This window comes from Homo sapiens, chromosome 1, assembly GCF_000001405.40.
Source record: "Homo sapiens chromosome 1, GRCh38.p14 Primary Assembly".
Taxonomy (NCBI): Eukaryota; Metazoa; Chordata; class Mammalia; order Primates; family Hominidae; genus Homo; species Homo sapiens.
Window position 1 is genome coordinate 107,735,753 of NC_000001.11, and position 27,582 is coordinate 107,763,334.

Sequence of the window (27,582 nt, forward strand, 5' to 3'; positions counted from 1 at the left end):
TTCACAACCGACTTCTACCAGATACAAAAAGGAGGTGGTACATTCCTTCTGAAACTATTCCAATCAATAGAAAAAGAGGGAATCCTCCCTAACTCATTTTATGAGGTCAGCATCATCCTGATACCAAAGCCTGGCAGTGACACAACAACAAAAAAAGAGAATTTTAGACCAATATCCCTGATGAACATCAATACAAAAATCCTCAATAAAATACTGGCAAACTGAATCCAGCAACACATCAAAAAGCTTATCCACCAAGATCAAGTTGGCTTCATCCCTGGGATGCAAGGCTGGTTCAACATATGCAAATGAATAAACATAATTCATCACATAAACAGAATCAAAGACAAAAATCACATGATTATCTCAATAGATGCAGAAAAGGCCTTCAACAAAATTCAACAGTCCTTCATACTGAAAACTCTCAATAAACTAGGTACTGATGGAACGTATCTCAAAATAATAAGAGGTATTTATGACAAACCCACAGCCAATATCATACTGAATGGGAAAAAACTGGAAGCATTCCCTTTGAAAACTGGCACAAGACAGGGATGCCCTCTCTCACCACTCCTATTCAACATAGTGTTGAAAGTTCTGGCAAGGGCAATCAGGCAGGAGAAAGAAATAAAGGGTATTCAATTAGGAAAAGAGGAAATCAAATTGTCCCTGTTTGCAGATGACACGATTGTATATTTAGAAAACCCCATCACCTCAGCCCAAAATCTCCTTAAGATGATAAGCAACTTCAGCAAAGTCTCAGGATACAAAATCAATGTGCAAAAATCACAAGCATTCCTATACACCAATTACAGACAGAGAGCCAAATCATGAGTGAACTCCCATTCACAATTGCTACAAAGAGAATAAAATACCTAGGAATCCAACTTACAAGGGATGTGAAGGATGTCTTCAAGGAGAACTACAAACCACTGCTCAACGAAATAAAAGAAGACACAAACAAATGGAAGAACATTCCATGCTCATGGATAGGAAGAATCAATATCGTAAAAATGGCCATACTGCCCAAGGTAATTTATAGATTCAATGCCATCCCCATCCAGCTACCAATGACTTTCTTCACAGAATTAGAAAAAACTACTTTAAAGTTCATATGGAAACAAAAAAGAGCCCGCATTGCCAAGACAATCCTAAACAAAAAGAACAAAGCTGGAGGCATCACGCTAGCTGACTTCAAGCTATCCTACAAGGCTACAGTAACCAAAACAGCATGGTACTGGTACCAAAACAGAGATATAGACCAATGGAACAGAATAGAGGCCTCAGAAATAACACCACACATCTACAAACATCTGATCTTTGACAATCCTGACAAAAAGAAGAAATGGTGGAAGGATTCCCTATTTAATAAATGGTGCTGGGAAAACTGGCTAGCCATATGTAGAAAGCTGAAACTGGATCCCTTCCTTACACCTTATACAAAAATCAATTTAAGATGGATTAAAAGCATAAATGTTAGACCTAAAACCATAAAAACCCTAGAAGAAAACCTAGGCAATACCATTCAGGACATAGGCATGGGCAAGGACTTCATGTCTAAAACACCAAAAGCAATGGCAACAAAAGCCAAAATTGACAAATGGGATCCAATTAAACTAAAGAGCTTCTGCACAGCAAAAGAAACTGCCATCAGAGTGAACAGGCAACCTACAGAATGGAAGAAAATTTTTGCAATCTACCCATCTGACAAAGGACTAATATCCAGAATCTACAAAGAACTCAAACAAATTTACAAGAAAAAATCAAACAACCCATCAAAAAGTAGGCAAAGGATATGAACAGACACTTCTCAAAAGAAGACATTTATGCAGCCAACAGACACATGAAAAAATGCTCATCATCACTGGCCGTCAGAGAAATGCAAATCAAAACCACAATGAGATACCATCTCACACCAGTTAGAATGGCGATCATTAAAAAGTCAGGAAACAACAGGTGCTGGACAGGATGTGGAGAAATAGGAACACTTTTACACTGTTGGTGGGACTGTAAACTACTTCAACCATTGTGGAAGACAGTGTGGCGATTCCTCAATGATCTAGAACTAGAAATACCATTTGACCCAGCAATCCCATTACTGGGTATATACCCAAAGGATTATAAATCATGCTACTATAAAGACACATGCCCATGTATGTTTACTGTGGCACTACTCAAAATAGCAAAGACTTGGAACTAACCCAAATGTCCAACAATGATAGACTGGATTAAGAGAATGTGGCACATATTCACCATGGAATAACTGTGCAGCCATAAAAAAGGATGAGTTCATGTCCTTTGTAGGGACATGGATGAAGCTGGAGCCATCATTCTGAGCAAACTATTGCAAGGACAGAACACCAAACACCGCATGTTCTCACTCATAGGTGGGAATTGAACAATGAGAACACTTGGACGAAGGGTGGGGAACATCACACACTGGGGCCCATCTGGGGTGAGGGAATGGGGGAGGGATAGCATTAGGAGAAAAACCTAATGTAAATCATGAATTAATGGGTGCAGCAAACCAACATGGCACATGTATACATACGTAACAAACCTGCACGTTGTGCACATGTACCCTAGAACTTAAAGCATATTAAAAAAAAGAAAAGAAAAGAAAATATATTGTCTTTTTACAATGCAAACTTCACAAGAGAAGTGAACTTGTCTATCACTCTACCCCTAGTGTGTAAAACACTTCCTGGGCATGTATTGTGAAATGCACAATACATAGTCTTATTCAAAAATTGTTTCAAGTATGACTTCCTTGCCATCTCCCCAACTAGCCTGCTATTGTCTACTGCCCCATAAAGACAAAAAACTAAGTTTCTCCCATCGTTTCCATTGCAAGGATTGCCAGTTTCCAATCGCAGCTTATTTTGTGTTGTATAGCCCAAAGTAGTAATTCTTGTGATCTAATCATTTCTTATCAAGAAGCAGCCTAAAAATAGTACATGTCACACTAACTGTTAGGTTTAGACTTATAGGTTAAAGCTTGATTATTATCATAGAATTCACTGCAGTGGAGACTTTGTCATATACTTGGAGGAAACCATATACCAAGTTGACTTAGTACAACAAACAACTCCAAAACAATCTTACTCTTTGAGCAAATCTCTACACTACTCAGACAAGCCGGAGACAGTAGCACAGTAACCACCACTGTCAGGTTAAACTCTCTGGCTGTACTATTATTGTTCATTTAAAAAGAAAAAGAAAAAAACAACAACAGATGAAAGGCTCTGTTATAAAGCCTCAGGGAAACAAACACTAATTCAGCTTACTAATTTTATTTGCATTTAGTTTTAACCAGGGTAATGCTTATTTGCTGATGGAAATTTCGATATCATCCTTTGCTCTTCCTCCTGCCTGTGACTTCTCCTTCCTCATAAGCATGTTCAAGAATGCCAAGAAGTATCAAATACATATTAAACATAACCAGAGAAAAATGAGAGAGCTTGATCCTCACTAGGCAATAACAAAACAAGAATACTATTTAATATTTACTAATCCTTTGTCATGCATGAAATACTTTCGCATGTTTCCGGATCAAACAGGCTATTGAAAGACTCCATTTCATGACAGCTGTGATTTTTCTGAGCACTGTCCCGTGTCCTACTTCCTTTTATTGCTGCCAGTATAGTTCCCTATCCTGACTTAACTGCCAATTTTGAAAGGTTATAGACAATACATTAGATTCAGGGAGAGTTGAGCTGGCTTCAACTTGGGAGATTAATGTGAATAGGTCAGCACCATGAGACTCTCAGCACAGCCCAGAGGCAACTGATGGTGCCGGCATGGATTCTGCACCCATAAACAAATTCTTCACATTAAAAACTGGTCATGCAAGCATTTTAAGGAGGAAGAATGTGAGGTTTTTAGAGAAAATAATTTCTCAACAAAAAACAATCCAAAAGGGCTGACAAATATACAGACAGTTTATAGACATATTTTGGCCATTATGCCAGTAAGGCCTCCAGTTTCCAAACAGACACTGACGGGCTTTGGACACTAAGAAAATGCCAAAGCAGGTGACAAAATGTCATCCCCACATCCAGCTCATCCAGGAAGGCTCCCCCTCTGGCCAACTCTTGATACCACCACAGGCTTCCTCTACCCCTTCTGGTTTTCCTTAGTATGCCCTCCAGGGAGGAAATTTCAGAGTAAATAACAGGCACAAATGGTATTGCTGCTGGGAAGAAAATGCATCAAGAGCACAAAGAGCATCACTGATTAAACAATGCTTCTTGGCTGGGCATGGTGGCTCACGCCTGAAATCCCACCACTTTGGGAGGCCAAGATGTGCGGATCACCTGAGGTCAGAAGTTTGAGACCAGCCTGGCCAACATGGCAAAACCCTGTCTCTACTAAAAATACAAAAATTACCTGGGTGTGGTGTTGCGTGCCTATAATCACAGCTACTCAGGAGGCTGAGGCAGGAGAATCACTTGAACCCAGGAGGTGGAGGTTGCACTGAGCTGAGATCGCGCCACTGTACTCTAGGCTGGGCGACAGAGCAAGACTCCATCTCAAAAAAAAAAAAAAATGCTTCTTGTTGATATGGCTGACTACTGAATAGAGAAAAAGTTACTACATGGCTGCTACTGGCCTGGACTCCGTGGGACCTGTCCTTTTCAATAAACCATGTGATAAAACTTAATGAAACTAGAAATTGAATAGATACAGTCTGTTCTGTGAGCAGACATTTTTAATATTCAATTAGACAGTAAAATAATAATGACAAATATAGATAATTCATCCAGGTTTATAGTTTTTTTTGGTGGAGTTAAAAAACATTTTGGAGCTAAATCATCATGATAGCCTAAGCAGGAATCACTGATACTAAAAATAAAAGAAAAAAAAAATCACACTTCTACAAAAGGCCACAGCGTGGTTTCATTATAGCTGAGATCATTTTGTGGTAACATATATTAACTAATTCTCTAGGCCTAAGTCATCTTATTTGTGCTGTAGGACAGGGGTCACTAACTACAGCCCACGGGCCAAATACAACCACTAGTGTTTTACTGGAACATACCACACTCATTCATTTATGTGAATCTATGGCTGCATTCGTAGTTAACTATGACAGAATTGAGTAGCTCTGACAGATACCATATGGCCCACAAAGCCTAAACCATTTACTCTCTGGCCCCCTACAACAAAATGTTGCTGGCCCTTGTTCTAAGAGACGAAATTTGTTGTCTCAACAGAAACTTATTTAAACATTTGAGAAGATCCAAACAAACCTCCTGATGAAGAAAATGAAAAAGAGGAGAGAGGAGGGGACAGGAAGGGAAGAGAGGACTAGCAGTACTCATAGCGGTAGTAGTTGCTGTTTCTTAGGCCTGCTTTAGAACTCCGACAGCTTCATGCAGATACTGTAGGCATCTCCATCTGGGCAAAAATATTAACAAAGTGAATCTTTTAAATTTTCACATTTGAATGTCAAATTTGTTGCCAAACCTTTAATAATAGAAACATGGGTCTTTCAAAAATTAACAACAAAGACCAATTTCTTTTGAAACACTCACTGGAGAGCTTAATTTTGAATTGCTGGGTAACATGACATGGCTTTATTCCTCTAAATCCCAGGATGGGTGTGGGAGGCACTCTGTCCGGCCTGACTAGCCGCTCCCTGAAGGGGTGGTGAGGCAAGGGGTGCTGGTCCTCTGCAGGGAGCAGTGCAGGGTGGGGAGGGTCATGCTCCAGGTGCTGCTGAGGGTGTCAAAGACCAGTGAAACAGCCGAGGGAACACATGCATGACATAAGCCCCACTGTGACGCCTGTTGGCATTACAAAAAATAGACTGTGAATGGATTTCAGGTGGAAAATGGAAAAGGCATAGATCCTTTCTCCTGGGTCTGACAGGTGGGAAAATTAAAAAAATATATACACACACACAAAAACCAAAAAAGCCACAGTGAATCAAGAACATGGACAGAGAGAGAAATATGAGAATGTAGGTGGGCCTTGAGCACCTCAGACCCTAAAACTGGAATCTGGGCTAACCTCTGTCTACATCTCCAAGGAGCAAGGAGGCCCCAAATACCATATGACTTGCATATTTTCTACAATTTTCAATATACAAATGAGTGAGATCAGTGCTACTTAAATGACAGGCTAGATAAAATGAGAATTGCCCATCCTGCTTGGTTCCAAAAATTTTATCCAAGCAAGCCAGACTACTAGAAAGAAACATCTGGAAGGGCTAGCATCAGGTTAGGTGTCTATAAAAATGCCTTAGCAAAACTGCAATTACATAGTTGAAGGCTTACATAAAAGAGAAATACTCATCTATGGCATCAACTTCAAGAATATCAAAAAATCTAATGCTGCTGGTAGAGAACATGTTTTTCAATGTCTCCTACCTAAGGATCCACACTATATAGCCTTCTTACCATACAGGAAAAACTCTCTCCTCCAAAGGGCTGTTGTAATATTTTGCCACACAATAAGAATGCCACAACTCATCAAGTCTTTTTTTTTCCCACTTGTCTTGGTTGTCAGAAAACTTACAGAGTAAAATTTCAAATTTACAACAAAAATATGATACTGTGCTATGAAAGATCACGCATGTGAACAACAGGGACAAGATCCCTGCCCTCATGCAAGAAACAGACATTAAATAGGCAAACAGATCTAATGGCAACCCCATATTCCATGGGCCCAGACAGTTCAGCCTTGGGCCACTAAAGGTACACCAAAATAAACAAAAGATAATTTCATTCTTTACTTAGCATTTCAAAGAACATAAAGGAAAGATAAATTGAGATTCCAAACACCTGCATCTCAAAAGGCCTTTTCCCCTTCTCAAATCTCTCAGATGCCATAGCTATCCCAGAGCCTTACTCACACCAAACAAACCCAATACTTTCTTTCCATTCCCAGATCCACGAGGCTTTCTTTTCCCCTTTCCCACATCTCTAACCATGAGGTTCAACTTAACTTCCCTTCCAATAAACAAAACAGAATCCTTATTCTTTAGGAGAAAAGAGAAGTAAAACTGAAACGACCTCAGATTCTAACAGGCAGAGGGATTGTTGGATGAAGAGAAGGCAGTAAACAGGATGCTTGGATAATTTTTGTCTGGCAATATAAATACAATTGTGAGAGAATATAGAAAAGGTGGTATTACTCACTTAGCATAGGGGTCAGGAGAGATCTCCCTCACAAAGTAACATTTACAGCCAAGACCTGCAGGATATAGAACCAGCTACTCAAAGAACAGGAGGAAAGACCAGGCCTGGCAGGGAAAGCTTATGTGTGAATATCTGAGGCCTGGGCATTCTCTAAGAACTGAAACACACAATCTAACTAGAAAAAAAGAAACAAGCACAGGGAAAACTGATAGGAGATGGGGCTGGAAAGATGGGTGGGATAAAACCAGTCAGGGCCTTCTTCCATCCTAGCGAAAACTCTGGTGTTATAGCAAGTACAATAAACACCCAACAGAGCTTTCTAAGAGGGGCAGATCACTCTGATGCTTGTGAAGAAGGACTGGTTGGGAAGAGGTAGGGAATAGCTAAAGAGACATGCAGAAGACGTAAACCAGGGGTGGCAAGGGAGAGTTCAGGCAGCTATTCAGATTTGATGTGCAGAGACTGGTGAGAGATTGATTACAAGTGGAGAGAGGGGGCTGTATCAAGCGTAATTCTTGGGACTCTGTATGTTGATCCTTAAGTAAATGGGGTTAAAGGAAGAGATGATTTGAATAGAAATATCAAGAGTTCAGTCCTGAAACTTAATCCATTATATATTAACAGAATATTATTATATTTAGAAATAATAATACTTAAATTCAATTGCAATGGCTCCCTCATTGTTATTTGCCCAGGGCTTCCAACAGTGTCTGGCAACAAGGCAAGTGCACGATAAATATTTGCAGAATGAATAAAATTTCCTCTGGTAATTCTCTCTCTGGTATTCAAAATATCTGAGCAATATCTTTAGATTAAAACAAATTATGTTTGATGAAATATAACTCTAGATTTGAAATGTGAGAAACATGCTTTTTGTTTTTATCATATAAACTACAGAAAGTAAACTTCAAGAAAATATTCTTGTCTAGTGGAGCCTGAGTTTGAAGATAATACTTGGAAACACTGTTCTATTTGACCTCGGATTATTTAAATTTTTCTTTTTAATTCTGCAGCATGTGTGCTTTTTATTGTGAGTGACTTCAAATTCCTTCTGGAAGTAGATGGGGAATAAATTAGAAAGAAACACTGTGCCTCAGATTAAATGTGATTTGTGGAGCTTAACGGCTACATTCTCACTCCCTGCTCCATCCCAACAGTGAAGGTCCTCTCAGGGCTCATTCTGGGAAATGCAAAGCTCAGGCAGGGGCTGCCGCTCCGGATGACCAACAGGATAGTGCATCCTGGTCCCAGAGTCCCTCCAGAGCTCTAGAATCTCCATCCCCCATTCTCATTCTCTTCGTCCCACTACCATTAGTCCTTGTGTTTAAAAGATAAACATCCTGGGCTAATATTTCAGTAGACAGGCCTGACCTCTATGCTATTTTCCCTTAGGTAAGCCATGTAGAACTGTGCCAGGCACTTATTACACAGTCGAGAAATCTTAGATATTCACAGTAGTGATGGCATATGCATCTCAAAGAGTCTTTCTTCATTCAAGGGGGTAAATGAGAATTGTTAGAATTTCAAAAACTGGGCCAAGGTCGGTCAGAAGAAATTCTAGGCAAGAGGACCTTTCATTTCCCTTCAAAAAACACTATGAAGGCTAATTCTGAATCTACCTGTTTCTACCACATGTGATGCTTATGGTATGCCTCTTATTTTACCTTTTCTTTTGCTAACTTTTCTTTTTTTAAAAAAACAAACAAACATTTTTTGCCATTAAAAGTAATGGCAAAGCCCCAATTATTTTTGCACCAACTTAAATACAATTATACTTCTTTATTTTTTACTCAGGTTTAACTTATTCCTGGGACATTTAAGAAAACTGTCTGATTGCTAGATCCTATTCACAGTGAGAAAACAAAAACAAAAAACACAAAAAACCTGGACTCCAGTTTTAGATGCCAAGATCTGAGTCCAGTTGCTTACTTTAGCACCCTTATGGATAAAGAAACTCCTGTGAACTGAGATCCTCAACTGTACTGTAAATGATACAGCATCAAACTTGTACACATTTGCTCAAATGCTCCTGTGACTGCTAGTTTCCTGAGCTACAAAACGGGTATGACAAGGTTTATTAATTTAAATCTCATAGAAAAATTCATAAAAGCACAATGGATATATTGGATTTGGGGAAAACATATCCATAGCTTCTTAACAAAATTTTGAACATTGCTATAGGCAGTTATATCCATATTTTCCAGCATGATTATGAAAACCAGTTTAACCCAATAAAACCATTTGCCGTCCTGTTTCACATATGACTAAATGGAATTGTGAGAGACAGTTAGTGACAAAAAAAAAATAAAACCCTTTTGGAATAAATAAAAGTAAGCAATGCATATCGATCAGCCTCTTAAAGATTTAAATACATTATTTACATTATGCCCCCCAGAACTACAGCCCTTGCACTCTATTTGGTCTATTTGGCTCAATAACTTTTCCAACAACCTCAAGAACATATCAGTCCTGCTACCACTTATCACAAAAAAAAAAGCGGGGGGGAATCCTCCTGCCGTATCCAAGTGGGTCACTGCTACTTTTCTCTTTGTTCAGCCTTTCCTATGGAGGTCTGTCAGGTTCTAATGTGGTTCACTGCATATTTTAAATGCTGGAAGTGGTTATGGCCAAAGAAGGTCAGAGAACATGACTGCGAGAGACAGAGGCTGAGATTTAGGTCACCTCTGGGGAGAATATTTATGTTCACCAGATACTTACTGTTCATTAGTGTTCATGCTTTTCCATGGCCTTATTTAATGTTCTAAATTAAGAGCCCTAATTTAGAGGCTTAACATAGTATTTTAAGTGCCTTAACAGTGATTTGCAATAATTTTAAATAAAAATGATCCAATCATCCTATAAACAGAATTGCCATCTTCTGTAAATAGAAATGGCAAGCATTTCAACACTCTTAAAAATATCAGCTCCCTTGATTTCCCTCCACCCTCTCACCAATGCCTCCCTTTCCTTTTCAGAATTCCTTAAAGCAATAGTCCAGAGCACTCTAGGGGAACTCAAGGGACTCGTGTTGATACTAAAGACACTGGGAAGAAGCCATCCTGTGGAGATACACAAGGCTTGCTGTTCTTCATGCATTGTCATGGATGCTGCAGGAGTTATTTTCTTTTATTCTCCATGACTTATCAAAAAGGAGTACTACAGATTTAATAATGGATAAGCAGCAAAATTTGAACCATAGGCAAAATCAAACTTCAGGATTTACCTATATTATTCTATTTTTATGAGCATCAGACAGGCAAAACCTGTCTTACAAAGCTGGAAGCAGACATTATCAGGGCTTTCCTACATGATGAACTTCAAAGAAGAAGGAAATAAAACAATGGAATATTCTGATGCCTGCTCAGATTTTATTTAACCATATATAATATAACCCTTATTTATAGAAGCCCTCAACTTCAACTCTGAGCAATTCTCCAAAAAGATACTTCTACCCTCCCAATATCTGCATAGACATTCAACGGAACTCTAAAACAACAAAAACTACTTCTACTGGTGTGTTATTTTATTGCTGAGATGCTTGGAAAACAATCAAAGATTAAGAAACCCAGGTTCTGTGCATGTGCTGCAGCCATCCTTATTGTGGTGGAACAATTTAAATCCGTACATACCCCTATATGTATAAACCTGTAAGGCGGTGGCTGCTGGTTGCCTACAACTACCCATTCCTCCCTTCTTCCATAGTAAAAGAACCTTAATTCTTAGCCAGGAAGAATCCTACCTAGAATAAAGGTTTTATTTGCCAGCCTCCCTCGGCAGGTGCGGCCACATGACTATACGTTGGTCAGTATTATGTAACAGAAGCGAGTGGTATTTCTACAAGGAATCCATAAAAGTGGGATTACTTTCTGCTACCTAGAACATAAATTTTATACCTAGAGCTCTAGCAGCTATCTCAGACTACAAGGTAACCACTCTTAAGGAGAGAAGTCAAATGCTGACAATAGTATTTATCTTGTCAAATCTCTTTTTTTTTTTTTTCAAGACGGAGTCTCAGTCTAGTACCCAGGCTGGAGTGCAGTGGCACAATCTCAGCTCACTGCAACCTCCGCCTCTCAGGTTCAAACAATTCTCCTGCTTCAGTCTTGCGAGTAGCTGGGACGACAGGCATGTGCCACCACACCCGGCTAATTTTTGTATTTCTAGTAGAGATGGGGTATCACTATGTTGGCCAGGCTGATCTCGAACTCCTGACCTCAGGTGAATTGCCCACCTCAGCCTCCCAAAGTGCTGGGATTACAGGCATGAACCATCACACCTGGCCATCAAGTCTCTCATATCCACAAATTAACTGTTTGTTTTATGGCAACTGAACAAAATAGTAACTGACATGCCTGTCATACAGTCCAAGGAACCTGCCTGCTCTAGGACATGAAATTCAATTTCCTTCTCTGCAGACATTCCTTCACTCATCTGAAGATTATATAGCCAAACGAAACCCATAAAAAAAAAAGCCTAGCATATAAGAGCAAAGGCTCGAGATCAGCTCTGTCTTTGCATATTACCACTAACCCAATCATCCTATCACTCCAATTCAAATTGTTTAACTCCAAGTGACTTCCTAAAAAGAAAAAATAGTATACTAGAATATGTTATGTAGTTTTATAAGTCTTGTAAGTATACTAGAATCCCAAATGCAATTATTATTAATAATAATAGCAATAATAATAGGTATCACCTATTGTTCAATATCACATAGCTGTAGCTGCTATTGTACTATTTGGCTAGCTCTCTGCTGATACATATTACCTAGAATTTGAAATAAATATCATTCCTATTTTACAGATGAGGAAACTGAGGCTGTGAGAGGTTAAATAACTTAGCTTTCATTATGCAGCCAGTTCATGGCAGTGATAATAGATGAACCCAGAATTGACTATAAGCTTAAATATTTTGGCTATATAATCCTGTCTTCAAAATATTAGATAAAATAATCCTGAGAATCTTTATTTTCCTAATTTCAGAACCACAATAAAACATCCTACTCCCACCTCTAGTTTACATTAACACGAGCATTTCTTAAAACAAGGAAAAAAAATTGATAGAATTTGTCAACAACTGGTAAATAATCTTTATAAGCGTAAATAGTTTGGCTATAGAATCCTGTCTCTTAAAATGTTAGATAAAATAACCTTGAGAATCTTTATTTTCCTAATTTCAGAACCACAATAAAACATCCTATTCCTACCTCTAGTTTACATTAACATGAGCATTTCTTAAAACAAAGAAAAAAAACTGACAGAATTTGTCAACAAATGGTATATAATCTTAGAACCCAAATGAAACAAATTCCAAATGTAGTTTTCCTTAATTTCCCCTTTTGCTAACAGTTTTATTTCAGGGTATCCTATATATTTCTACAAAAAGGGTCATTGTGTACCTTTCAATCCTTAAACATCAAAACTAAAAAGAAACACCTATAATGACCTGTTCTTGGTTATTACGTCTCAGAATGCCATTCCTTTTGAAACAGGGTTGATTTATTTTCTACCTCTTTGTTGAGCTTCCTCCTCAGTGGAACTAAAAGCCACTTAAAGAAATCAAGCCCTTAAAGCATTCCTTAAATACACGAAGCATTTTAGCCAAGATTCAAATAAGCGAGTTAAAACAGAATAATTCAATCTTTCTATTAAAAATAAGATATATGCATTTACATATCTGTTTGTGTATGTACACTTGGAGGCATTTCTATTTAAAGGTATATAATTTAAAAATATAGTTATTACATAAAAAGTTTATCATTAGAATAATTAATATTTTCTTGGGCTGCTGAGAGCTAAAGAACTAAAACATGCCTATAAGAAAGTCAAACAGAAGATTAGAGCTCCCTCTTTCTTCTTTTTGAAGGAATTCAACAAAACTCCTCTCCTAGGAGACCAAAGTTATCAAGCAGCCAGCAGCCTAGTAGCACTCCTGCTCACAGCAAAAACATTCCCGTCGCTGTACACATTATACATGCTACAAGCATTAGAGTACACTTATTGGTTGTTCATTATTCATAAGTGATTTAACTAGTAAAAATAAAAGCACTTTTAAAAATAGAAATACTCACAAAGCCATTTCAAACTGTTCTAGCCATTTCTTCTTTAAATCTTTTGTTTTGCAATAAAATTCTAACCCATTTTGTCCTTGGGTATGGATGAGGTAGAAGCCATAAGACCACTGTTAAAATTAATATTCCTTAGATTAATATGTATCATTAATAACATGTTTCTAAATTCACAAGAATACCACAACTATCCAAAAACTCCTCACAATATTATCAATGTACAAACTGAACAATCAAGCTTATTGTAGTCAACTTCATATCTATAACAATTTCTATGCCAAATGCGTTTTATTATCTGGATCATTAGGGCATTAGAAATGATCAGATCTGGCTGTGGCATTATCCAGTTATTTCTCACAAAGTTATGTACCTAATCAATCTCTAGAAACAAAAACATCTGGATTGATAAGCCATATCTCACATTAATGTATTATCATACTTTTCCTTAATGTTCAAGATTATAAGTAAATTACAGTTATTAGTTTCCAAAAAGTCACCTTTTTGTTTTCTTTATCGGTTGTAGGATTATTGGCTATCTTGTACTGCTGAAGATCTATTATTTCCTTCATTTCATAGTTATCACCTTTTCTCTTACATACGATCACTGCCAAATCAAATAAGAAGATATGCCTGGGAAAAAGAGATTGATTGATTGATTTTAAATGGTTTAGAAACATGGGTTATTAATTTTTTTGGGTATAAAGCAACCAAATGTTTTTTTCTTTGCATTAAAGACAACAGGTAGTATCATACACTGAAAACAACGGGGTATTTGAGGTTATAAGAACTGTGTGTGGAATTTCCCTTTACCTTGTAAATGGCCTCAGTGTGCTTTGGTTCCCTCATTTTAAAAATGGGCAAAAATCATAGTAAGAGTAAAATGCACACTGCAGAGTTGTTGAAAGGGCCAAGTGAGATAAGCCATAAAGTTTGTTCATGAGCAATTATCTTTTTTAATTTAAAAGCTAAAAACCTATAGAATAATATTAATGACATCCGTAGCAGCTTCTACTGAAGTTACTAGGAATCAGCCAGAATGCCTTGAGAAGTGTTCATCCCTTTCACAAACATGACTCAATTTAAATCCCCAAGACCACATGCTGGGAAGGTATCATTGCCATCTTCATTTTATTGAGGAGGAAACTGAGGCTTAGAGAAGTTAGATAATTTGCTCAAGATCACACTGCTAGTGAGGCATGTAACAGGATTCACAAACAGGTCTAATTTTGGAAACTGTGCTTTTACCCTCTATATTGTTCCTCATGATTTAATTGGCCACCTAAAAACCCAAACTGAATGGTATATGAGCCAAGTGTAAACTGAAAACGTTATGGTGAAATTTCCATGTTAATATTTCTTTTTTCTTATTAAGAACAACGTAACTTGGGGGAGAAAATAAACCTTATAACCACATCATCCAATACCAATACTTGTGTATTTTTATAAACTCTCAGTGATTAACACACATTTTTTTTATACACAATGATAATGACACATTCACAGGGCTGTAACACTTGCATCACTTTTAACGTCTATTTCTCCCAGAGAGGTTTAAAGGACCTATGGAGCCAGGGTTATCGAGGAAGAAGCAAGAGCTGATGCTGCCCCCTACTGGCTTTCGCTTCTCCAAAGATTCCAGAAAACAATCATTGTCAACCACAAAAACCTCTGTTTGATGATTACATATATACATAATTAAGGACTCCGGGCCAAGCTTACTAATCTTCAAGAACTACATCTGCAAATTTCCCTCAAGAAAATATTACTACGTGATTCTCACTTAATCTTCTTTCTTAGGGCATTTTTCTATTATTTTTGGTTATTTAAAAATATATTCCAAAAATTCAATTATGTTTTTATGGTAGTTATCTGTTCTTACTTTATCGCTCTTCTCATTTTAATGTATCCTAGCTGATCATCTATACTTGTTACTTCCTTCTTAATAACTTAGACAAACTAATAGATACCAGAACCCAGGTGGGAATACCTAAGATAATCTAGATTTAAAAAATTTAGAAATCATGGGTTGGTCTGTCTCCTTGTATTTCTTCCTTTTTTCCCCCTACTTCACACTGGAAAAATTGTCTTTAAGGTTTTCTCAGTTTTCTGACACTAATTACTTATTTTGAAAATAGTATTCTTCTTTTCTTACCTTTCTTGTTTGGTATGCTTGTCTAGAGTGGTTATTCGAATTTCACCATCTCCCTGAGGTCGTCCAAAAAGCAAAACTGGTTGGTTCTAAAATATAAAATGCACATGTCAGAGTTTTTCATAATCACATGAAAATAAAAACAAATATTAGTAGAGATATTTACTCAAGACAACTACCTTATTACATTAAAATGTTACCATTTTTTATACTTTTAAAGCATACTTACTCTAAAAAGCTCAGGTCTACATGACAAATAAGTCTGTCCTCTGTAATCCCAGGGGGTATGTCAAGGACATCAATTGATTTTAATTAGTATATATTCTTAAAGGGGAAATTAGCTATGAAAAGAAAGACTCAACCGGAAGGGTCCAAATTACGAGACGGTTCGGCAATTAATATTTTTTGAGCATCTACTACGTGCCAACCACCATAACAGGTGTACGGCAAAATGATACAGACACTGCCCTCATGAAGCACACTGCGCAGTGGAGGAACAAATATTCACAGAAGCATGCAATTACAAACGCACAATTGCCATGAAGGAGTACAGAAAGGGGCGGGGGGGCGCGCGCTAATTTGGTCTATAAAGTCCAGGCTGGCTTTCTTGAGCTAGGACCTCAAGGACGAAAAGCTCTGAGTTAATTATTTAAAATAATGAGCTATTTTCCCAGAGGCTGATAACTAAATTATTTTTAAGTGTTTATGAACACTTACTGTACACGCTAGAGGAAAAAAGAATTGACTGAAAATCACTAACGTTCAGAAATTCCATTTTAATAAAGGGCAGAGATGTGTGATTAACACTATAAATATAAAAATAAATGTATCTTATCAAAATCCCAGTGATGTTTTCTGCACAAATAGAAAATTCCATTCTAAAATTCTTATGGAATCTCAAGGGATTCTGAATAGTCAAAACAATCTTGAAAAGGAACAAAGCTGGAAGTCTCATACTTACTGACTTGTTTCCAAAACTTATTGCAAAGCCACAATAATCAAAATCATGCGGCACTGGCATACAAACAGGTATATAGACCAACAGAATAGTAGAGAGCCCAGAAATAAGTCCTCACATATATGGTCAAATGATTTCCAACAAGGTTAACACCATTAAATAGGGAAAGAATAGCCTTTTCAACAAATGGTGCTGGGAAAACTGGATATCCACATGTAAAAGAATAAAGGTAGACCCTTCATTACCTTACACCATAAATAAAGAATAACTAAAAATGTTTCAAATACCCAAACATAACAGTTAAAACTATAAAACTTTTACAAGAAAATGGGGAAAAACTTTATGACAATAGATTCAGCAATTATTTCTTCGAGATTGATAAATGGGACTTTGTCAAAATTAAAAACTTTTGTGCCTCACAGACAATATCAACAGAGTGAAAAGCCAACAGACACAAGAAAAGTATTTGCAAACCATATGTCTTATAAGGGATTGATATCTGGGATACAAATAAAGAGCTTCTACAACACAAAGACAAAAAACAACTTGATTCAAAAATGGGCAAAGCATTTGAATAGGCATTTTTCCAAAGAGAATATACAAATGGCCAGCAAACACACAAAGACAATATTCAACATCATTAGTCATTAAGAAAATGCAAATCAAACCCACGATGAGATATTGCTTTAAAACCATTAAGATGGCTGTTACCCAAACAAACCGAATAGTGAGTGTTGGTAAGGATGTGGAAAAACTGAAACCCTTGTGCATTGGTAGTAGGAAAGTTAAGTGGGGCAGCTGCTGTGGAAAATGGTATAGCAATTCTTCAATAAATTAACATAATGACCATACAACCCAGAATTCCACTTCCAAGTATATAACTAAAAGAAGTGAAAGCAGGCACTTGAATAGATATTGGTACACCTGTGACAATAATAATATAACAGTATTATTCACAATAGCTGAAAGAAGGAAGCAACCCAAATGTTCATCAATGAAAAACAGTGAGGTATTTATATAAAATGATGTATTATTCAGCTTTAAACAAATGGAAATCAAAAAAATAAAATGTTGACACATGACTACTACAAGGATGAACTTTGAAGACATTATGCTAAGTAAAAAAAGCCAGTCATGAAATGGCAAATATTGTATGATTTCACTTATATAAGGTGCCCAGAGTAGTTAAGCTTACAGAGATAGAAAGTAGATTGGTAGTTTCCAGGGGCCAGGGAAAGAGAAGAATGGGAAGTTCATGTTTAATGAGTACAGAGTTTCAGTTTTGCAAGATGAAGTTTTGGAGACGGTCACACAACATCATGAATGCACTTCTAATTTGAAAATAATTAGAATGGCAAATTAATGCTATATATATTTATAGCATTAATGTGTGTGTGTATGTATGTGTGTGTGTATATATATACACACATATATATACACACATATATATATATACGTATATATATATATATATATATACACACACACACTTTTTTTTTTGAGACAGAGTCAGAGTCTCGCTCTGTTGCCTAGGCTGCAGTGCAGTGGCATGATCTCGGTTCACTGCAGCCTCCGCCTCCTGGGTTCAAGCAATTCTCCTGCCTCAGCCTCCCCAGTAGCTGGGACTACAGGCACGTGCCACCATGCCTGGCTAGTTTTTGTATTTTTAGTAGACACGGGGTTTCACCATGTTGGTCAGTCTGGTCTTAAACTCCTGACCTCAGGTGATCTGCCCGCCTCGGCCTCCCAAAGTGCTGGGATTACATGTGTGAGCCACCACACCCGGCCAATGCTATATATATTTTACCACAATTTTTTAAAGGCTACACAGCTGTCCAAGAAATATGCTATGGAATTCTAAAGAGGAAAAATAATAGGAGATTAGGAAAAGGGATTTATTTTAGATGCACCTTGAATAAATTTGATAGGGAATAGGAAAAAAACATTCTAGGCTCTGAGATTACAATTGAAGGCAGAACTGTAGAAACGTATGTCAAATTGGAGACCTTGTAATACAGCAAAATATCCACAATGTAAAGTTTACGGGCAGTTATTAGCTGGAGGGGTTCAGGAAAATAGCTTAAGTCCAGATCACTGAGGACCTTAAATATCATGCCAAGGAATATTGACTGAATCTTGAAGACAACAACAAAAAAATCTTGACAAATTTGAGAAAGAGAGTAAATTGAGAAATCCACATTTTGGAAATGCAACTATATGAAGAGATGATGAGAGGCTACTGTGACTGGAAAACTGGCAGATGATGGTGTCCTGAAATGGGTATGTGGCTGCATGTGTGAAAAGAAAGAGACAGGTTCACAATGTTTCAGAGAAAGCAGCGATGAAACTGCTCTACCAAAAATGTATCTTAAATTCACTCATCTCTATTTGCACTGCCCACAGATTAATCCAGGGCTGCATCCTCTCTTGAAACCACTTCAACAGCTTGCTGGCTGGGCTGCCTGCTCACAGGGTCTTCTTGAAATGTCAATCAGTCTGTTGTAATACTCCCTGATAGAAACCTTTTAATAGCTTCCCACTGCAGTCACAATAAAATCCCAATTCAGCATATTGGCCTACAAGGCTGTGTTATGTAATTGCCCTGCCCATTCCTCATGGCTCAGAGCCCACCATCCTTCCCTTCACTCTCCATTTCCAGCCACTCTTACCTTTCAGCTTCTTGAATACACCTGGTTCTTGCCCAACTCTGAGCATTTCACCTGCTACGGCTTCTGCCTGGGTCACTTTCCCCTAGATCTTCGTGTGGCTGGCTGCTTCTTATCTGCTAGGTCTCAGTTCAAATGACTTAAAAGGACTTTTTCCAACCAACTTATCTAAACTAGGACTCCCCTTGTAATCCTCAGTTATAGCAGCCAGTTCACAGCACTAATCTCAATATGGCATTTTTAACTCTTTTTTTTTTAAACTGTCTCCTCAATCTTGAGACCATCTTGTTCACAGTTACAGTCCCAGCCCCAAGCAAAGTGTCTGGGTCATAATAGTCACACAGCAAATATATGTAAAATGAATAAATGAATAGGAATCAGCCATGAGTATGTAGGGGGATGAGGGAAAGAAAAGAAAAAAAAAGTGGACTCCTATATTTAGATTCAGACTGCTGGGAGAAGAGGCAGAGTGTGACTAAGGTAAGAGGGACAAGCCATCACAAAGTCCCTAGACACAAGCAGGTTGCAGGTGCCCTCAGACACCCACATGAACACTGCCAAACAAAGGGACTGGCAACAACCTCCAACAGTAGAAACTTGAAGGTAAACTATGTTTTCTTCAACAACAACTCCTAGAATGTCGTTGATGTGGGGGTGAGGGGAAGCTGGATGGAAAGATAATTACATACCAAATTCTCTATAGATAGCTGAAACTGTTTAATTTCACGAAGGGTCTCATTATCTCTTTTCACTTCATTCACATATTGTGCCAAGTCCTAGACAATAAAGAAAAGGGTAGAAAAAGAAGGCACACTAAGATTAGAGATGCAAACTGCTTTGAAAGAAAACACATCATTAATTCCATTAGTGGTAAAAGTAACCACTGTAACTTTTCAAAGACAGTAAAATGAATGCCCAGTCAATCAAAGCTGCATCACAGAGGCAATTTTAAAATGTCTGAAGTACAGCTGGGAAGACTGAAGAGCTGTCATTTGTCACACCACTGAGAAGAGTCAGGATGTTGTTGCCTTAAAAGACAAAACAAAATATACCACAATAGAGCAACAAAAAGAAAACTAGGTCGGAAGAATAGAAATTCCAAGCACGTTAATTACTGACCTTGAGAGCATGATATTTTTACACAGGTTAGAAGAAGGGCAATCATGAACGATTAGCATGAGAAAAGTAACCAAAAGTTAGATAATGAATCTAGCAAGACTGTTTTATTTTTGCAATCGGCTAGTCTTCTTGGTTCCTGAGAGCATTCGGTCAAGGAAACCGGTTCAATTTTAAAGAGTTAACCCGTTTATGGATTCAGGAGAAGTAAAGGAGAGGTGAGGAACTAAATAGCACAACATGCTGGAACTAAATTTAATTCATGAATTAAAGTGAACATAAAATGCTGGCCGTGTCTTTCCATGTGCCTTCACCTATTTTAAAATGTCTTTTCTCATATTTGAGGAAACATTAGCTAATCTTTCCATACTGTAACTAGCTATTTTTGTTACATGTGCTCCAGATTTTCCTGTTTTCTGAGCTCTTTTTCTTTTTTCTCTACCCTCTTAAATTCATCTGCAACAGTAGGGACAGAACTCTGCAAAAAGCAGTTCCTAACTTTGTTCTAAATGGAAGTCTGACTTTTCATAGGATAGATCCATAAACGACTTCTTTAAAATTTGGAACTTGGTTTGACTTTTTAATAATAATAATAAATAATTATGTGGTGTTTCCTGTTAGTGGTAGACAATCAGCCAAACAGCGAAGCTAACACGAATTGGTACAAGGACACAGTTAAGTAATTATGCACTGCTCTGAGCAGGGTCACCTTGCCATTTTGTTTTAAAGAACAAATATTTGCCTACGCTTTAAGTTATTGGCAAATATTATTTCGTTTCAAAGTCATTTTTATTTAACATAATGTGGAAACTGAGGTTTTACATATTCCCCAGTATGTTCAAAATGTCTGTCTTTTCTATTCATAATTTTCGTATTTTCCTGAAAACTGAACAAACTGAAATTCACTTGTATGAAGCCATAGCATCCACAAGGGTAAACCTAGCAGATATCCTCATATGAGGAAAATAAGTTACATGGGGTTCTGAAGCCACCAGCTGGCCTACGACTTACACAAGCCAACGTTTTCTATTAGTCACCATGAAAAGAATGGGAAAAAAATATGATATTAAATAATTCCCCATGGTTATGAAAGTTTTTATACTTGTATCTAAGTGATTTTAATATACTTCTTAGTTTTATGCGTTGTCTAACAATTAAATCCATGCAAGGATAACTATTCCAGTAAAAAAAAAAAAATCCAGTTTTCTCCACTAAAAACAAATGTGTATTATACATAGGCATGTCATAATATTTTATTTATGTGTATATATATATGTTTGTGTATATATATGTGTGTATATGTGTGTGTGTGTGTGTGTGTGTGTGTGTGTGTGTATGCAATTTGAATTCCATTGTCTTTAGGCAAGAATAAAAAATACAAACAAATTACTGATGAATCTGCCCTACCTTCATGGCATCAAGAGCCAGTTTCAGATTTGCCTTCTCAGTCGGATCAGTGGTATGTTTGACCAGTTCCTATTTGGAAGATATGGTTTAGTACTACTTTCATCAAATTAAAACTAAGACATACTAAAGAAAACATTTTTACAAATAAACCATTATTATTGGTTTTCTCTCTATAATGTGATAAATCTAATATGTCTGGGCTCCATTTCCATCAAAAATTTCAAACTGTAAGAAGACCAACTAGACACCAAAAAATCATGAGACACAATATGAGATATTTTCTTTTCAAAGATGAATCTGAATTCTATCCACCACCATTACACTGACATTGATCCCTATTGTTATGAAAGATTCCATAATGATTAAAATCACACTTTTTACTCATTTATTATTCTTGGCTTCAGCTTTTGATTCTTTTAACTGCATCCCTCCTTTCATTTCAGGGACATCAGGATGTTCTATTTGTTGTTGTTATTGCTGTTAAAATTGTTCATCTGTCCATCCTAAATTTCTGCCTCCTCCTCAGTCTTTCATAGTTTCTTCTTTATCTGCTTCTTAGAAAGTTATTGTTCCTTAAGTTTTCACCCTAGTCCTCTTTTTTCCCCTGATTTTACATACTCTACAAATTCTATCACAACCACTGTCATAATGTCAACTATCACCTCATGGGCCAATTACTGTGAAATGTATGTGCTCAACCCAAAATTCACACGAGTCCCGGACTCATCCGTCCAACTAAATGGTTCTACCTCATTATTTCAAAGTCCCCTCAAATCCAACATTCCCCAAACTTAATCAATCTTCACCCAGAATCCTATTCTTGGATCCTATTTCTGTTTTATTGAATGATGGCACTTCCATCAGTGTCATCACTTAAGCCAAAACCTAAAAGGTGTCCCAGACTTCTCCCTGTTCTCTCTCCCTCACTATGTCCTATTGATGTTAACTTTGATCCTGCCCCCTTGGAACCATCCTCATTGCCACTAATTAGGTTCAGATCCTCACGTTTTTCAAACAGATAATTATTTGCCAAGCATGGTGACTCACACCTGTAATCCCAGCACATTTCCAGGCTGAGATGGGAGGATCACTTGAGTCCAGGAATTTGAGATCAGCCTGGGCAACATGACAAGACCCCATCTCTACAAAAAAAAATTAAAAATTAGCTGGGCAAGGTGGCATGAGCCTGTAGTCTCAGCTACTTGGGAGGCTAAGGCAGGAAGACAGCTTGAGCCCAACTGCAGTGAGCCATGACTACACCATTGCACTCTAGCTTGGGCAACAGAGAAAGACCCTCTCTTAAAACAAAAAACAACAAAACCAGGTAATCATAATGAGCTTCTGATCGGCCTTCTGACTTGCAGTCTCTCCTCACTACAGTCCAGTCACTCTATTGTCATCAGGGGTAGGTTTCTATAATATAAATCAGATCCTGTCTCTACCCTACTCAGACTTCTGTGATGCCCCACAAAAGCTTCAGGTTGTCACCCATACCTCCTAGACTCCTCATGATCTGAATTCTGCAAACTTCTCTCAATTTCTCCCTCCACTTTCACCCAGACAACTTATATTCTATTCATACTAAATTAATTGCAATTCTTAAATTATGTTCTAATATCTAATCCCATTAGAAATATTATTTTTTCTGCTTACAAAGCTCTTCCCCTCTGATCTACTTATTGACCCCTTACTCTTCCTTTAAAGCCCAACTCAAGAGTTACTCCTCTGGGGAGTCTTCTATGACAGAGGCCTCTACTCAGGTCCCCAGCTTCCCTATACATAATTATTTAGGCCTTTAACTGTGCTGGTTCTGTACCTTACATGTACCTATCATATTGTGTTATACTTGGCAGCTTATACTTCATTTTTCCTTTCTAAATTATGAGCTTTATCCGAGTAGGGTCTGTCGTATATCACGAGTGCCTAATACTATGTTTGGCACAGAGAAGCCATACAAAAATCTTTAATGAATCCAATACTACCAGTGTTTCTGCTATAAACAAGAACTTAAAGACAGAATCTATTAAGTATAATAAATCCATAAAAATTCTATTCTTTTATTCCTTAAAAGTTACTTTTACTTCATTAAATAAAAGTCATGTTATTAAAGTTCCCAATCACCCACTATAAAATATTCTCACTTTGTGAATCTGTGGTTTCAAATCATCAAGCATTTCAAGTGATTTCGCCACTAAAGTATAGTAGTAAGTAAAAAAGTCTAAACTGATAACCACATTTGTTCAACAAATTTCTAGACAACAAATAAATTTTACTCCATAGAATTTTGAGAGGGAAAAACATTTCTAGAATTTTTACCTATGTGTAGTATCCAAATAAAACTTTCCCTATTTTAAAAAGTCATCATGGAACTAAACATACTCTTAAAATTTTAAATATAAAACAACCCAAGGGAAATTAGGGGGAACAGTTTACTAAATTTCAAAAAAGTATAGTTGTATTTTATACTTTTATAAGTCTGTGTAAAACCCTGTAAGGACCAAAATAGGTATTTTTTTAAAAAGCTGTACCTTCTAAATTCTTCAATCGATACTTGACTACACCAAAGTTACAAAATAAATTATTACCTTATTTTGGACATGTATTTAGTTCCAGGATGCCTTGGAAACTGATTGCCTGAGTCGTCCTTATTATTTTTTCATAAAATCCAATTTGACTAAGTTGCTTTGAGTTTAGGTCTCATAAATGTTTTAATGCATTTTTAAGGAATAATCAGGGTTTGAATTTTTCTGATTTCTCAGTAGAACAAAAATAGAGATGACTAATAATTTTGCAGCTACAGTTCAAGAAATTTAATATACAAGATATACAAAGCACAGCCGACGCAAAATTGTATTTCACATACAGGTAGTAGATCTTTTTAAAATGACATTTCACAAGCATCAGCAGAGTTGACAGACTAATACACTAAGACATTTCTTTGGAGCAGAACTAATGAGTCTCCTGGTATAGCTATCAAATTAAATTTATAAGACTCTCCACCCTCATTTAGAAGACTAACCGTGGAAACCATAGCTTTGTGGGCTATAACAAGAATCACTTCAAAATAAATGTAGTCTTATTATAATTTAGTATAGTAGAAAGCAATATGGAATGTCACACAATTCTCTTTGGCTTACTGTTACAAGGGAAGAGGTCTAATATGATTAATCTGCCAAAATTCAAGTGCACTGCAATATTGAGGTGCTCATAAATAAATACTGATAACTACAGAAGACTTGGTTGAAAAAATATTTTTATTTGTTTTGACTTGTTTTTAATTATTTTCTAGGCAGTCCTGTTTTAAGGACACAAAATGTGATTTATGGCAGCTACTGACCATCTCTGCTAAAAGGAAGAAAAAATGTCCAGCTGTTCTGTTATTTCCCACTTAACTATAATAATAATTCAAAATTTTAAGGGGATTGGGCCCAACACATGGAATATCTGCAATGTAGTTGATGCTTCATTAATATTTTGTTGAGTGAATAAATGGACAATAAATAAACTGTTTTAAGTTACATACCTGGAGGAGAAGGTGGTACTTTAAAACACGTTGCATAGGAACCACAAGCAAGTCTCGAAGAGTAAATTTCCCATTATTTGCTCTTTTGGAACATTCCTAATGAAATGTTTTAAAAACACTTTGTTAGGGAGTCATAAACATTAAAAGATGCAAAGGCCCTAGGCAGAACAGTTATTATACAATAAATGAGTGCGTTTGTTTCCTTAACAATCCTTCTCTGTAAATAACAGAAAGTATCTTCAATTTAAAAAAACAAATCTTGTAGTACTTTAACTCTAAACATGAATAAAAGAGAACTATTTTGTGTATGAAAATTATTTTCTTGGCCGGGCGCGGTGGCTCACGCCTGTAATCCCAGCACTTTGGGAGGCCGAGGCGGGCAGATCACAAGGTCAGGAGATCAAGACCATCCTGGCTAACATGGTGAAACCCCATCTCTACTGAAAATACAAAAACAAAATTAGCCGGTCATGGTGGCAGGTGCCTGTAGTCCCAGCTACTCAGAAGGCTGAGGCAGGAGAATGGAGTGAACCCGGGAGGCGGAGCTTGCAGTGAGCTGAGATGGTGTCACTGCACTCCAGCCTGGGTGACAGAGTGAGACTCCGTCTCAAAAAAAAAAAAAAAAAGAAAAAAGAAAAAGAAAATTATTTTCTCTAGTGCAAAATCATGGCCCCCCAGGGTCTTCTTCAGTTTATCTTTATCGCTGTACTTCCCACCAATTTCCCCCAGTGGACTTATAGAACAGGCATCAAGAACACATCCCTACTCATCAAAAGTGTCAATAGTCTTCCCACCCTCAACTATGGTTTATTCAGTTCCCTCAACTATGATGTGCTTTGTCCAGCCTCCAGCAAAATACATCTTCCTGTTTAAGAACTACAATCCTAGGCCTTTCGTAACAATTACAATCACAATTGGGTGTACTCTCTCTCTGTCTTGTGGGTCTTTTAATTATTATCATATGTAATATCTACTCCAATATGATTTGTGCTGTATGCCCCTAAGAATGTAGTATTTGCTTAATAAGTATTTACTGAACTGAATGAAATGGAATATTTGACTTTAAAACTTTGCTCAAGTATAAACCTACTACTAAACTCCAAGATTTAGAAGCCTTGGATTGTATTTAATTTCACCCTCTTCTTTCCTAAAGGTTTATTTTAAAATAGTATTGACTGGTTTGTTCTTTTGATAATAATTATGACTTTGAGTAAATTACTTTGAAGTGTCAAAGAATGAACTTAAAGCCAAGATTTGGCAACTGTTGGCGGTGTGACCTTGGACAAGTCACTTTTCTGATTTTACTGTTTCTCACGTAACTATGGTGTTCTTCAAAAAAAAAAAAAAAAAGGGCCATACAAATATTATTATTAGTGAGCAACCTCATAAGTCCAAAATCCTGACACAATTGCACATCCCAGCACAAGGACCTTTCCAGTTCATAGACGGAGTTGTGCTTAAGAAAATACACTGTTGCTCACAAGTTTGTTTCTTCTTTGCCCACACTTAGTTTTTCTGGCACATGGAATGATATATTATGAGGAGCTCCAAAAAAACACCATTAACTCTAATGATCCGTGACTTAATGAGTATGTCTGTCTACAGCTATCAGTCAAAATGAATTGGGGACACATCCTGACATGCTAGCTGTGTCATCAATTACTGCAGTTCATTAGAAGGATAACTATTTCAACCAGTTTCTTACTTCTACAGATTGTAGAGAGCTCTGGATCATGGGTCTCAAACAGAAAGTTACATTGTTAATATTACTATAATTAGTAGGTCTTATCTCCTCTGCTGCATTTTAAGGCCCTTGGAATTAAGGTTGTAGCTTATATTTCTTATGTTATGCCATCCCAACACAGTGGTAGGAACAGAAATATTATATATTTAAAATTCACTATATTATGGAAATTAGTTTCAAAATGTTGAAGAAAAAAAGTCAGTTCCTTTACATTCTAAGTTACAGGCTCAGGAAGTAAAGAAACCAACATTGCTGGAATTAGCTACACCTGGGAGATAGAGACTCAAATGTAAAATGCTTATTCGTGTTGAAAGTAAATAATGGGTAGAAAGAATCCTTCCAAAACATCCAGTCACTTGCTTAGCCTCAATTCAATTGTAATGGAAAATAAAATGAGGTAGGATGAGCCAGGCTGATAGGGCAAGATAAAGAGATTCATCGCCCTTCACCCCATGTTATCTTGGTTCCAAAGTAGAGAAGAAAAAGACAAAAAACTCAACAAGAACAAAAATAACCACAAAACAGAAGACACAAAGAAGGCAGAAAGACACCAAGAATAAGGTAGTTTTCCTTCTATCATGCTGGGGCTTGCGGCACGCAGCTCCCACTGAGTATTTGTTGAAGTGTTACACTAAGTATCCGACTTAATACTTCCAAATCAGGACTATGGTTAGAAGTGTGGGCTTTTAAGCTGAAGAAAGGACAGCAGGGGCACCTCACCCTGTGCCTTTCAAACTCAGCCTGATGTCCTCTCTTTCCCTAAGTCGAGCATTGACTGCAAAAACTACATACTTAGAGTCCCAGAGT

The 27,582-nt window shown here is 37.1% G+C and overlaps 1 protein-coding gene across 13 annotated transcripts in view; it reads right to left on the reverse strand.

The window, feature by feature from the left end:
* Positions 1 to 27,582, reverse strand: part of VAV3 (vav guanine nucleotide exchange factor 3) — a 394,020-nt gene that overhangs the window by 164,592 nt on the left and 201,846 nt on the right. For 12 of the 13 annotated variants that reach the window (XR_007063680.1, XM_017000053.2, NM_006113.5 and 9 more), the window contains 6 exons: positions 25,032 to 25,127; positions 21,509 to 21,577; positions 19,675 to 19,761; positions 15,365 to 15,450; positions 13,710 to 13,842; positions 13,216 to 13,325 (listed from right to left, as the gene is read on the reverse strand). Coding sequence is in view for 12 of the 13 variants with exons in the window: in XM_017000053.2 (XP_016855542.1) it covers positions 13,216 to 13,325; positions 13,710 to 13,842; positions 15,365 to 15,450; positions 19,675 to 19,761; positions 21,509 to 21,577; positions 25,032 to 25,127 (581 nt within the window). In the remaining variant the exon portion in view is untranslated. Of the gene's footprint in view, positions 1 to 13,215; positions 13,326 to 13,709; positions 13,843 to 15,364; positions 15,451 to 18,988; positions 19,114 to 19,674; positions 19,762 to 21,508; positions 21,578 to 25,031; positions 25,128 to 27,582 lie in introns of those variants that run through there. The other variant, XM_017000056.2, reaches the window with a different exon arrangement.